At 36.3% G+C, this 13,437-nt stretch overlaps 1 annotated feature.

The window, feature by feature from the left end:
- Positions 344–864: an enhancer, noted in NCBI's record as "NANOG hESC enhancer chr1:91149838-91150358 (GRCh37/hg19 assembly coordinates)". NCBI's record gives its function as "activates a minimal SCP1, AML or CMV promoter by ChIP-STARR-seq in naive H9 embryonic stem cells {active_cell/tissue: H9 hESC(naive)}" and the evidence as "EXISTENCE:reporter gene assay evidence [ECO:0000049][PMID:30033119]".

A 13,437-nucleotide genomic window follows, 5' to 3' on the forward strand; every position in this document is an offset into this window, starting at 1 on the left:
TAAGCAAACCTGCATCCTTGAAAAGATGATCCAGAACAAAAAGACAGTTGTTTCTGCTCACCAGACAGAAAAAAATGCAAGAGACCTATGGAGAATTTTCTCCAAACAAGTGGAGGATAGAAAGGCCTACAGAATGAGTGCATGTGAAAACAATAATTAAGAGATAAAGGAATATCACAGGGCAGTAAATGAAGTAAATGAGGGGAAAATAGTATAGCGTAAATAGGTGAGAAAACATCAAGCAAAACTGCTCTGAATTAGTTATTTGTTGCTGCATAATAAAATTACCCCCAAAGCTTAGTGGTTTAAGACAATAAAAATTTATTTTCTCACATAGTTTCATGGGTCAGGAATCTGAGAGCAGCTTACCTGGGTAGTTCTGGTTCAGGTTCTCTCATGAGGTTACAGTCTAGATGTTGGCTGGGATTACAGTTACCTGAAGGCTTGACTGGGACTAGCAGATTCACTTTTAAGCTGATCATTCATTCACAGGCTTGGCAAGGTGGTGCTGGGTGTTGTCAGGAAGCTTCAGTTGTTGACCACGTAGACCTCTGAATAGGGCTGTGTGAGAGTCCGCACGACATGCAAGCTGGCTTCCCACAGAGAAAACGATCCAACAAGAGAGATCAAAGAAGAAGTCACAATGCCTTTTATGATCTAGTCTCAGAAAACTTCTTCTCACTCCTGCCATATTTTATTCATTAGAAGCAAGTCACTAAGTTGAGCTCACACTCAAAAGAAGGGAAATTAAGCTTCACATATTGAAGGATGGAATATCGAAGACTTTGTGGATATATTTTAAAACCACTACACAGTCCAAGTTGAAGCATCTGGCATGATGATGGAGAATATTGTTGATGAGCAAAAAGTGCTATCACTATTAGTGAGACTGTAGTTAAAACAAGAGACAGGTGCTAGAGTAGAGTGAGAAGAGATGACATAATATACCCAAGTTGCAAAATTTCTGTGTAGGCATACCTCAAACCTAGGGGTTTGGTTCCAGACCACTGCAATAAAGAGAATATCACAATAAAGCAAGTCACACAAATATTTTGGTTTCCTGGTGCATATGAAAGTTACGTTTATATACTGTAGTCTATTCAGTGTGTAATAGCATTGTGTCTAAAAAACAATGTATATACATTAATTTTAAAATATTTTATTGCTAAAAATGCTAATGATCATCTAAGCTGTCAGCGAGTCATAATCTTCTTGCTGAGGATCTTGACTCAATGTTGATGGCTGCTGACTGATCAGGTGGGTAGCTGTTGAAAATATATATATGTTGAGATAGGGTCTCACTTTGTCACCCAGGCTTGAGTGTAGTGTTATGATCTGGGTTTATTGAAGGCTTCGCCTCCCAGGCTTAAGCCATCTTCCTACCTCAGCCTCCCAAGTAGCTGGGACTGCAGGCACGCACCACCATGCCTGGCTAATTTTTATATTTTTTTTGTAGAGATGGGATTTCACCTTGTTGTCCAGGCTGGTCTCTAGCTCCTGAGTTCAAGCAATCCACCCATCTCAGCCTCCCAAAGTGCTAGGATTACAGGCATGAGCCACTACGCCAGCTGGCTGTAAGAATATTTTAAAATAAGACAACAGTGAAGTTTGTTGCATCAATTGACTTTTCCTGTTATGAAAAATCTCCCTGTAGCATGTGATGCTGTTTGACAGCACTCTATTTATCGCAGAACTTCTTTTAAAACTGGAATCCGGCTGGGCATGATGGCTCATGCCTGTAATCACAGCAGCACTTTGGGAAGCCAAGGTGGGTGGATTGCTTGAGTCCAGGAGTTCAAGACCAGCCTGGGCAACATGGCAAAACTCTAAAAACAACAACAACAACAAATACATATATGTATATATAACTTTTTTTTTTTTTTTTTTTTTTTTTGAGACGGAGTCTCGCTCTGTCGCCCAGGCTGGAGTGCAGTGGCGGGATCTCGGCTCACTGCAAGCTCCGCCTCCCGGGTTCACGCCATTCTCCTGCCTCAGCCTCCCAAGTAGCTGGGACTACAGGCGCCCGCCACTACGCCCGGCTAATTTTTTTGTATTTTTAGTAGAGACGGGGTTTCACCGTTTTTAGCCAGGATGGTCTCGATCTCCTGACCTCGTGATCCGCCCGCCTCGGCCTCCCAAAGTGCTGGGATTACAGGCGTGAGCCACCGCGCCCGGCCAACTTTTAAGTCTTTTATTTAAGAAATATATTTTATAAGGCTTTAGCTGTCATAAGTCAGGAGTAAAATATATTTTTCTGTTTATATTATAGAAAATATATTTTTATATATAATATTTATATATTTTCTATAATATATATTATAGAAAATATATTTTTATATATATTTATATATTTTCTATAATATATAAAATATATTTTATATAATAGAAATATAATATATATTTTGTATATTATATATACTTTCTATATATAATATATATTAGAGAGAGAGAGAAAATGGTGAATTCTTCCCAGAAGATTTTCAATTTATTTTGCCCAGATCCGTCAGAGGAATCCTGACTTATGACAGCTAAAGCCTTATCAGATATATTTCTTAAATAAAAAGACTTAAAAGTAGGGCTGGGCGTGGTGGCTCACCCCTGTAATCCCAGCACTTTGGGAAGTCGACGCAGGTGGATCACAAGGTCAGGAGTTTGAGACCAGTCTGGCCAACATAGTGAAACCCCATCTGTACTAAAAATACAAAAATTACCCGGGCGTGGTTGCGTGTGCCTGTAATCTCAGCTACTCAGAAGGTTGAACCCGGGAGGTGGAGGTTGCAGTGAGCCGAGATCGTGCCATTGTACTCCAGCCTGGGTGACAGAGCGAGACTCTGTCTCAAAAAAAAACAAAAACAAAAGACTTAAAGGTCAAAATTACTGTTTGATTCATGGGCTGCAGAATGGATATTGTGTTGGCAGGCATGAAAACAACATTCATTTCCTTAGACATCTCCATCAGAGCTCTTGGGTGACTAGGTGCATTGTCCATGAGCAGGAATATTTTGAAAGGAATCTTTTTTTGAGAAGTAAGTCTCAACGGTGGGCTTAAAATATTCAGTAAACCATGATGTAAACAGATGTGCTGTTATACAGGCTTTGTTGTTCCACTCATACAGCACAGGCAGAGTAGATTTAGCATAATTCTTAAAGGCCCTGGGATTTTTGAAATGGTAAGTGAGCATTGGCTTCAACTTAAAGTCACCAGCTACCTTAGCCCCTAACAAGAAAGTCAGCCTGTCCTTTGAAGTTTTGAAGCCAGGCATTGACTTCTCCTCTCTAGTTATGAAAGTTCTAGATGGCATCTTCTAATACAATGTTGTTTTGTCTACGTTGAAAATCTGATGTTTAGTGTATCCACCTTCATCCATCATCTTCTGGATAACTTGCTGCAGCTTCTACAGCAGCACTCGGTGCTTCACCTTGCAGTTTTACGTTATAAAGGCAACTTCTTTCCTTAAACCTCATGAACAAACATCTGCTAGCTTCTAACTTTTGTTCTACAGCTTTCTTACCTCTCTCAGCCTTCATAGAACTTTCACAGAGAATTAGGGTCTTGCTCCAGATTAGGCTCTGGCTTAGGGGAATGTTGTGGTTGGTCTGATCTTCTATTCAGACCAGTAAAACCTATTCAGACCACTAAAACTTTCCTCATATTAGTGATAAGGCTGTTTTTGCTTTCTTATCATTCTGTGTTCACTGGACTAGCACTTTTCATTTTCTTCAAGAACTCTTCCTTTGCATTCACAACTTGGCTAACTGTTTGGTGCAAGAGGCCTAGCTTTCAGCCTATCTCAGCTTTCAATATGACTTCCGCATTGAGATTAATCATTGCTAGCCTTTCATTTAAAGTGAGAGACTTGCAATGCTTCCTTTCACTGGAACACTTAGAGGTCTTTGTAGGATTGTTAACTGGCCTAATTTCAATATTATTGTGTCTCAGGGAATAGGGCGGCCCAAGAAAAGAAACAGAGATGGGGGAGCAGCCAGTCAGTATAGCAGTCAGAACACACACATTTATTGGTTAAGTTCACCATCATATACAGGTGCTGTTTATGGCGACATAAAACAATTACAACAGTAACATCAAAGATCACTAACCACAGATCACAATAAAAGATATAATAATAATGAAAAAGTCTGAAATATTATGATAATTACTAAAATGGGACACAGAGACACAAAGTGAGCACATGCTGTTGGAAAAATGGTGCTGATACACTTTCTGGTGCAAGACTTCCTGGTGCAGAATTGCCACAAAACTTCAATTTCTTTAAAAAAAAAAAAATGTAGTATCTGTGAAGCACAATAAAGGGAAGGACAATAAAATGAAGTGTACTAGTATTTGGTTTCCTGTTAAAATTTGTATTTTTGCCCTTTCTTGATCCTTATCCTATCACCATTATCTAGTTCTTTGTACATAATTGCAGAAATTTTATGGCTTTATTTTGATTAGACTATAATGCAAGATGATGTTCCCATAGCAATTTTTTGAAAAGCAAGCACACCTGTCCAGACAGAGGGAAAAATTGATCCAGATGCTGAGGAGAAAATTGTGTTGATCCCTAACAGATATCTATTATACTGAGGTTACAATCAGTTCCTGGGTTTGTGGTCAAGGTGAAAAGCCAAAAACCTCTAATCTACGGCAGGATTCAATTTTCTGTATGAATTCATTCCTTCTAGGTTTATTGTTTAATAGTGTCATGATGATTATATCTGTATTCATGCAGGTTTCTTAGGCAGAATATAAAGTGGACTGAGCTCAAAGTCACAAGGTGGGATTCTATTACAGTATCTCAGGCAAGAAATAATAAAGGCCTGAATACAGGCAGTAGTATGGAGAAGAGAAAAGTAGGGAAAGTTTCTAGAGAGATTTCTGAGGTATGATACCGAGAATTTGGTGACTAATTAGAGGTGGGAGATGAGAGAGGGGGAAGTGTGGAAAGAAACTCGGAGGTGCTGGTTTGGGAGATTTGATAGATAGATAGGGGGCCCAGCTGGTCCCAGGTTGCCCAGGACTTTCTCAGGTTCAGCACTGAAAGTCTTGTGTTATGGGAAACCCCTCAATCCCAGGCAAGTTGCCCATTTGGACACCCTATGATAGAAATAACATTAATTTATATAGGGAATACAGGAGAAGGAACGTTTTTGCTGTGGAAAACAAATTCTGTTATGGGCAAGTTGAATTTAAGAAAACTACAGAAGATGTAAGTAACAAGTTGGAAATGCATTTTCAGAGCCCAGTGGAGAGGCTGGGGCTGGATATGGAGAATTGTCAGTCATTATATGAGAAACAATGCCATGCAAGATGAGAATCTCCTAGGAATGATTTATAGAGTGGGAAGAAAAGGGGGGCTGAGAATAGAATTCAGTTTAAAAAAAAAAAGCAGGGGGAGGGTACTTTCTCATGGAAAAAGAAACCCATCAAGGGAGACAGAGAAGAGGTTCAGAAGTGGGAGAAATTAGAAACAGTGATTATCCCAGAAGCCAAAGAGAGGGGGAATTTTCAGAAGGCAGGTGGTGAGGACAAAAGTGTCAAAAACCGCTGGACCTGGAATTAGGCTTATTTCCTGTAGTGATGGAAAAGGGGTGGTATTAGGACTAAGTGCTACAAGAGTAAGGAGAGCATGGGGCCCAGCCCCAGCTAACTTAAAGAGGATCCCATCTAGCAGATACATGCTTACCTGACCCTCTGAGAGCCGAGGGAGAAAGAAAATGAATCATCACTTCCAGCTTACTCTCTAGTCTCAGGCACTGAGACATTATTCAACCTTTCCTGACTTCTTTTCTTTTCTTTTTCTTTTCTTTTCCTCTCTTTTTGTTTTTGTTTTGACGGAGTTTTACTCTTGTCACCCAGGCTGGAGTGCAATGGCGCAATCTCAGCTCACTGCAACCTCTGCCTCCTGGGTTCAAGTGATTCTCCTGTCTCAGCCTCCCAAGTAGCTGGGATTACAGGTGCCCGCCACCACACCTGGCTAATTTTTGTATTTTTAGTAGAGATGGGGTTTCACCATGTCTGGTGAAACCATATATAAATATATGAAATATATATTTCACATATATATTTCATATACATGTGAAATATAAAAAATAAAGCTAGTAGCTTTATTTTTTTTAAAACTGGCATATGTTGAACACCTAGTCTGTGCCAGGCACCTTGTATGCTTTATCTCATTTAATCCTCATAGCAACCCAATGAGGAACTTTTATAAATATTCCTCATTTTGTTTCCCTTCAATTTCCCTACGTTTAAAAAAAATCTGTAATGACAAAAACTAAAGTTTTCTTAAACATGCCATATTCCTCCAATAATATCTCCTTAGTCTTGGAAACTGTTCAGTATCTCTGGATCCTGAGTCTTTAGTGTCTGCTTTGATTCCCAAGAATTAAATGAAATTTTTTCCTAATTTATAAGATACTTTTGAATTCTTTTATAATTTTCTGAGGTACAATAATCCCACCTATCTCGTGCTAGCTACCAAGTTAAGAAAGTCTACACTTCAATTTTTCTAAAAGAATGCCTAAACAGGCATGCAAGTATTCATAGCTCTGCAATATTATTCTTGCAACCTCTGTATTTCAATAGTTTGCTAATTGTTTTATGATAATTTTTGTTTACCTATTAAATGATAAACCTCTAGATGTCAGAAGCCAAGCATCATACTTTTCTCATCCTCTACAACATCTAACAGATTATTGAACATCATAATCATTAATGAATATTTGATGGCTTAGTCTTCTTACTCAGAATCAAACTAATGACCAAAGCATGCTTGCACCCTCTCTAGCATGGTCTCCATGGTGTTCCCTAGCTGCAGCACCAATATTATTCCTCTTACTCTTGGGCTTCTCCCACCAAATCATTTCATTGCCCATAGGATTAATTTAGACACCAGATGAAAATGGAAGAGCACAGAAATAAAAATATACCGTATGTAGTAGTACCCATAAAAGATTAAATGAATAAATATCCATAAAATGAATTGGCATCATCTCAAAGCCTTACTGTGAAAGATTCATATAAACTTTACTTTTTGCAGTTATACAAGTTTCTGTATACATTTTCCCCTATGATATTGTAGTAGCGATAATATCATATTCCCAACTCACCAAAAGCTAAAACTCTCAGAGATGGTACATATATAAGAAACTAATGAAACAAACTCTATTTTTCTCCCTCTGCATTACTCAAATTGAAAAAACATCCAGAGTTATCAAATCTTCTGTAAGACATACAGGTCTAGGCTTGTATAACTGTGATTTCTGCTAACTGGCCACAGCCTAGTATTTTCACACTTTTTTTATACTAAATGGTTAGAACTGATCACTCCACCCGAAGCTGTCATGGAGAAATCTTCATTTAAAAATCTAAATAAGACATGCAGCAGCAGGGTTGAATTTTTAAAATATTATTCCATTTTTTGCATTTCAGTAAACTCTTGCAAATGTCACCTATTTGCCTTTTAGTACAATTATACACACATAAATCCCTGTTTAGTAAAAAAAAAAAAATGTATTCTATTTGTCACATATCATCAGTACATTTCTAGTCTAGACAATTCTTTGGATAATTAACTGAATTTTTATAAGCACTTTAGGTTGCTCATCTAACTTGGGAAAAGCTGTTTACTCAAGTAAACTAAGCTGGGGTGGTGGGGAGAGACAAGGTAGGGAGGGAGTAACCACCAAGCTTTGCTAATAAATAGTTCTCAGAAATATCAGCTCCCAATTTACTACTTGTACACAATGGGCCAGTTGAAACTTGTATGGTGATCCAATTTGCCACAGCTCTTGTTTTTAGTCTTTGTGGAGCTGCTGTGTGAGCACAGTGGGGGCCACTCCTGTGTATCCCCTGAGTCAATCAGTGGGCTTTTGTTTCCTGCTGGTCAAAAATATCAGGTGGCTTCAAGAGTCTAATTATCAATGAAAAATTAAATTCAATACAGAAATGTAGCCACAAGCACCACTCACCTCACCCTTTCTGAGCCCTCACCACCCCCAGGCATGTGATGAAGTATCAAGTCATTCCTTAGGATTCCAAAGAGATAGCAGAGAAAAAAAAGGCCCACACCTGGGGGAGAAGCAGAATAGATTTTTACTTGTATACCTTTCTCCTTTCTTGGTGGAGGACTATTCTAATTACCACAAAAGTTCTGGAAATTAGCAAACTATAAGGCGTTTTCTCTAATAATTGTTAAGCCAAGCTTATCTTAACATTGTACCATAACATCTTCTGGCCATAGTTCCCATCAGAAATAGTATAAACAGAGAAATGAAAGAATATATATGTTATTATCAATAAACTTGATAATCCAAATAGGCCCTTTTTTAATGCACTGAAAGAGTTCTTACTTGCTCACTAATGTATATTCTTTTATCTCTACTGAGTTTATTCCAGGCATTTAGGAAAACACGAAGCTGGAAATGCTAGCAACTGCCACTTATTTCAGGCTTTCAAAGTAAGTACAGGTTCCTCACTTCACATTCTAAGTCAGAATAGAATTGGAAGCTGCCAAAGCCAAATATAATAGAGCTTTAGTTTTCTACACATGTGATTCCCTTCTAATCCTTGTCTTTTTAAAAAATATATGTGCTTCATTTATAAGTGGTCAACTAAGCTTATGGTGGGAGAAAAAAATCTACCGTCTTAAAATATCCACCCTCATCAACGCTTCCCATTAGATACCTCCTCCAAAAAGTGAAATATTAAAGTTAAAACCAATCAAGGCAAGCTTTTTCGTGGTGCTCAAATACTTTAACCACAGTGTCAATGCACATGGTTTTTAAAACGTCAAAGTAAGTATTAGGGTTGATTCACAAATACTGTTGAAGTGTGAAGTGTTCTTCCATATGGTATCCCTATACAGTCCCTAAGTATATCCCTATACTTTTGATATCTCTATATCAAAAGATGATATCAACCTTGGATTAAATGTCTCTAGAGATTATTTGATCAGACAATGCAATTTTCTCTATGAGTCTTGGATATATGTTAGGTAACAGCTTGAACTAGAAAGTGCTCCAGTGCAGAATGACGTGAACCCGGGAGGCGGAGCTTGCAGTGAGCCGAGATCGCGCCACTGCACTCCAGCCTGGGCGACAGAGCGAGACTCCGTCTCAAAAAAAAAAAAAAAAAAAAAAAGAAAGAAAGAAAGAAAGAAAAAGAAAGAAAGAAAGAAAGAAAGAAAGAAAGAAAGAAAGAAAGAAAGAAAGAAAGAAAGACCTCCAATGCTCCAAAACCCTTAGGAAACCAATTATACAATTGTCTGATCCTATTTTAAGGATCACAAAGACTCAAAGACCGAATTATAGCCAAACTTGTCCAAAGGCACTCTGGGAACTCAATAGAAAAACATAATAAGTAAAGAAGCATCCTCAAGACCAGAGAAAGGCAGAAGAGGGGGTAAATAGTAAAGGTAAATTTATAATGAATTATGAATTATATTTTTAATGTTTTAAATAAGACTTTCTATCTTTTGCAAGTATGAGTATTCAAAGACATAAAAGATAAACCTATTTTGTTCTCCTGCCACTTTTAAAAGAGAGATATTTACTGTATACTGAGGAATATGTTATTATCATTATTCACTAGAATTTTAAGTAATTTTATATTATATAGTTAAGGAATAGGTTATTTTTGAACATGGCATTTTCAATAGAGAAGAGCAGTTGTTTGACATTCTTTGGCTTTTACACATTTATGTGAATTTTGCTAATTTATTTTATCTTAACACCCAAGACACAATATACATGTGCATAACAGCACCACATCAGAAACAGTTATTGAACAAGGATCACTCTTTATAAATGAACACAAGGTAAAATCCTAACAATTAAAAATAATAAAATACTAATAACAGCTAGGTAAAGGGTTTTTTTCAATGTACTTTAAACCTACAACAAGCAAAGACATATGAAAGACTGTGTTTCTGTATTCATACATCTTTGTTGAAATTAGCTTGACTAAACACCTACAAGTAAATTTTTTATCACATTCATTCTCTTAGATTTTACTGAGTAAAATCAGCTTTTTACTATGAAAATGTAGCTGGCTGCACAAAATACCATCATTTTCCTTTTAATAGATTCTGTATTGTCTACATAGTTTTTTAATGCTGTTTTATCTAAAATTTTAAAAATATACACACAATACACACCCCAATACAGTTAACATTAAGACAAAAGTTTAGCAACATAAATGGAAGATTTTCAACATGTATAAGGTAACAGTAAACATTTTATGCAAATGCACTTCAGATTTTCTGTTCTTCTTGATACACCCCACCCAGAACCTTCTAAAAATGAAGCTGTCCATGCTATTTAAAGTTGCATTATGCATTTTATATTATAAATTATTAAAGGACTTAATGGACAATGTGCTAGAAAGAAAACAGGCAAATTACAGAATAATTTAACATTGCAAAGAAACAGAGTAACTTGCAGGACATTAAACACTCTATTTTGACATAGAATGCCTGAAGCTAAAGCAATTAAAGCTGCAAAATATTGCTGGCTGACATGATGTGTATGTAAATTTGTCATTCATTGGCAAAGGTTTGTACCAATCACTGGGAATGTTCACAGTAAAACAATCCATGTAGTATAAAATGCTTTTAGTGAAGTCCTCTAAAAAAGTAGTTATGTATCATTTACGTATCTAATCATTATCCATAGTAAATTTTTGGTTTAATAAAAGAGTCCTCTATGGAAATGGCCTTAAGATTGAGGATGAGTTCTTGACATATTATTTATATCTGTTCATTTCTTAAAGGGAAAATATCATTTTAACATACATCACAACTGGAAAAGAAAATACAAGCCAGAAATTGACATTTTATTTAATTTGGTTATGTTTTTCCCTAGGACTCCAAAAGAAGGCCTGTCTTCGAGTATTGTATCTAACTCTACTCTAGAAATAGAGTCTAACAGAGCCATACTGAATTCTAGCCATTTATCCCAGCTTAGAATTAGTGTTATTCTCCCACAGGAGGTAGAAGGGAAAAAAAAACACAATAATCCCCCAAATGTACTGTTGCTATGGAAGAGAAGGAGATGCCTGCTGAGATTGAAAGTCACAAAATATTTGGGCAGTTGAGAAAACGTAGGCCAAACCTCCATTGCCAAAGCCTGAAGACTGTCTTTGCCAGGACTCCTGGGTCATTTGGCACTGCAGAGATACGCTGGACAGAACCCTAGAAGAAGCTATAAGGAAACAAGACACATTTTAATATTCATTTATCAAAGCTCTTCAATTATCCTTTCAAATTAGATGAGCCAACAGTAAACTCGGAACCAAGAGAACATTCTAATAAATACTAAAATGACTTCATAATAGAAAAAATAGTCAAAATAGTTGGTGAATTACATTTCTTTGACATTTCACCAATGAGTTTAATTAAACTTTCCCAAAGCCTAGGAGCAGGAGAACATCCTTCTCTCTCTCTTTTGGAAAAGATCTGGCTCATAAAATTTCACAGCTCCAATTTCCCTCTCTAAGGCTGTATATTCACTGTTCTTGACTGTTTTAGAAATTATATCAAGGATTAATCACTAACCATATGTTTTGGAGAAAATCATCACGAACCACAGGCTCCATTTGGTAAATAAGAAGCTATACAGGAGACTCCAGCCTGCCATCATTTAATGTTATGCATAAACACTGTATTGATAATCCAAACCAATCATCCTTAAACACCATTTCTAAACTAAATTAATTACACATTTAAATTTATATATAAGCACATACAGTACTAATAATGAAAAAATATCCGTATCCCAGAGTTTAATGATTCTGACAGTGTGTAATCTGCAAAATAAGAATATTGGCTTGTGGGAGCTCCATAAATGTTTATCGAGCATCTCTGATAGGAATTGTAGGAATTTTTTAACGTGTAGTATATGTCCTCAAAAAGCATATAGTCTAAGGAGAAAAATAGGTAATCAAACATCACACACAGAAGAATGGCAAAAGTACTAAACAGACGTATAACAGATAAAAGAAGAGAGAAGAAGTAGGAGGAAGAGAGAGGGAGAAAATTAAAGAAAAAAAAAGAAAAGTCACTGACAAACAGGATGAAAAGTGATAGAATGGCCCGAAAACCTGGCTCAAGTGTCACCTGGTGTATTTATGCAGTAATCTATCTAGCCACACTCTCACTATCCACAATTAACAATTTCACAAGGTTTTAAGAAATAAATACCTCTCCAGGATGTCCATGTAAATAAATGTTTTAGGATCTGCTTCATTGCTGGAGTTATGATAACTTAGAAAAGAGACAGATAGTCTTAAAGTTTATATGCCAGCAACACGATTTCTAAGTTGAAAAGATGAGCGCACATTTCAAAGTTTCACAAACAATAAATATGAATCATAGCATTGCTATACAGTGTGAATAGATTTCAGATCTCTGAGAAAAGAACCAAAATAATTCTAAAATTATCTCCACCTCTGGACAATAATAACCAGTGGTCTTTTTTTAATCTACAAGTTTAAAACATATTTTAATGTTGTTTCTCCTAAGCCTTAACACAGTAAAAGAAAGTTGAAACATAGTCTTCTTTGTGATAAACATGTAGTATCTGTGAAGCACAACATTAATCCCATTTGTACCATAAAAAGTATGATCCACTTGAGCCTTGCTCTCCTGTGAATTATGAATCATTGTAATACTCGGGGGATAGTCATCACATCTCTAAGGTTCCTGCTTTGTTCCTACAATGTTTTTCCTCGGATATCTAAAGTATCTAGGAAATTTGAAATCCCCATATGAAATATCTTAACATATTCTTTCAACATACATTCCACCCTTTCCATACCACAAATTATGTAGCACAAGAGAACCAGATTCACCAAATAAAGTGATAGTAGGTGTATCTTATTCTTTGGAAGAAAAGGCTACTTATTACAGTCATATTCCTTTGGTAAGTAGCTAAAATATCCAATTAATAGGGTTTAACCATCAGACAGAATTTGTTTTTAGAATAATGAAAATGTGTTGTCATTACATTGTTATTCCCTTGAGTGTATTTTTTTGAGATGTGACTCATTATAACTTATTTTAGCTGTTCTGTTTTCTAATTCTTCATGTTTTCACATCTTTTACAACAAAATAATAATACATAAATAATACCTGACAAGATTTTACAGATTTTTCTCTATCAGTATGCTTTTCTTCTCCAAGCATCTTAAAACATGGGTGTGGTAAAATACAAAGAATGTGAATGTTAGCATCCTTACAAGAAAAAGCATCAATTTTCTCTCTTCTGCTACACACATTGCAGAGTACAGTTAACAATGCATTAAGTAATTTTGAACCCAAACATCATGCCAAATAGTTCTAGTGAAACCTAGTTCCTAAATGTAGCTTCATTTTGAAAGTCACTGTTTTTATTAACAGTGTCTTCCAACAGCCTTATCTCAATAGTACCACTATTAAC

The sequence above is a fragment of the Homo sapiens genome, chromosome 1, assembly GCF_000001405.40.
Source record: "Homo sapiens chromosome 1, GRCh38.p14 Primary Assembly".
In the NCBI taxonomy this organism is placed as follows: Eukaryota; Metazoa; Chordata; class Mammalia; order Primates; family Hominidae; genus Homo; species Homo sapiens.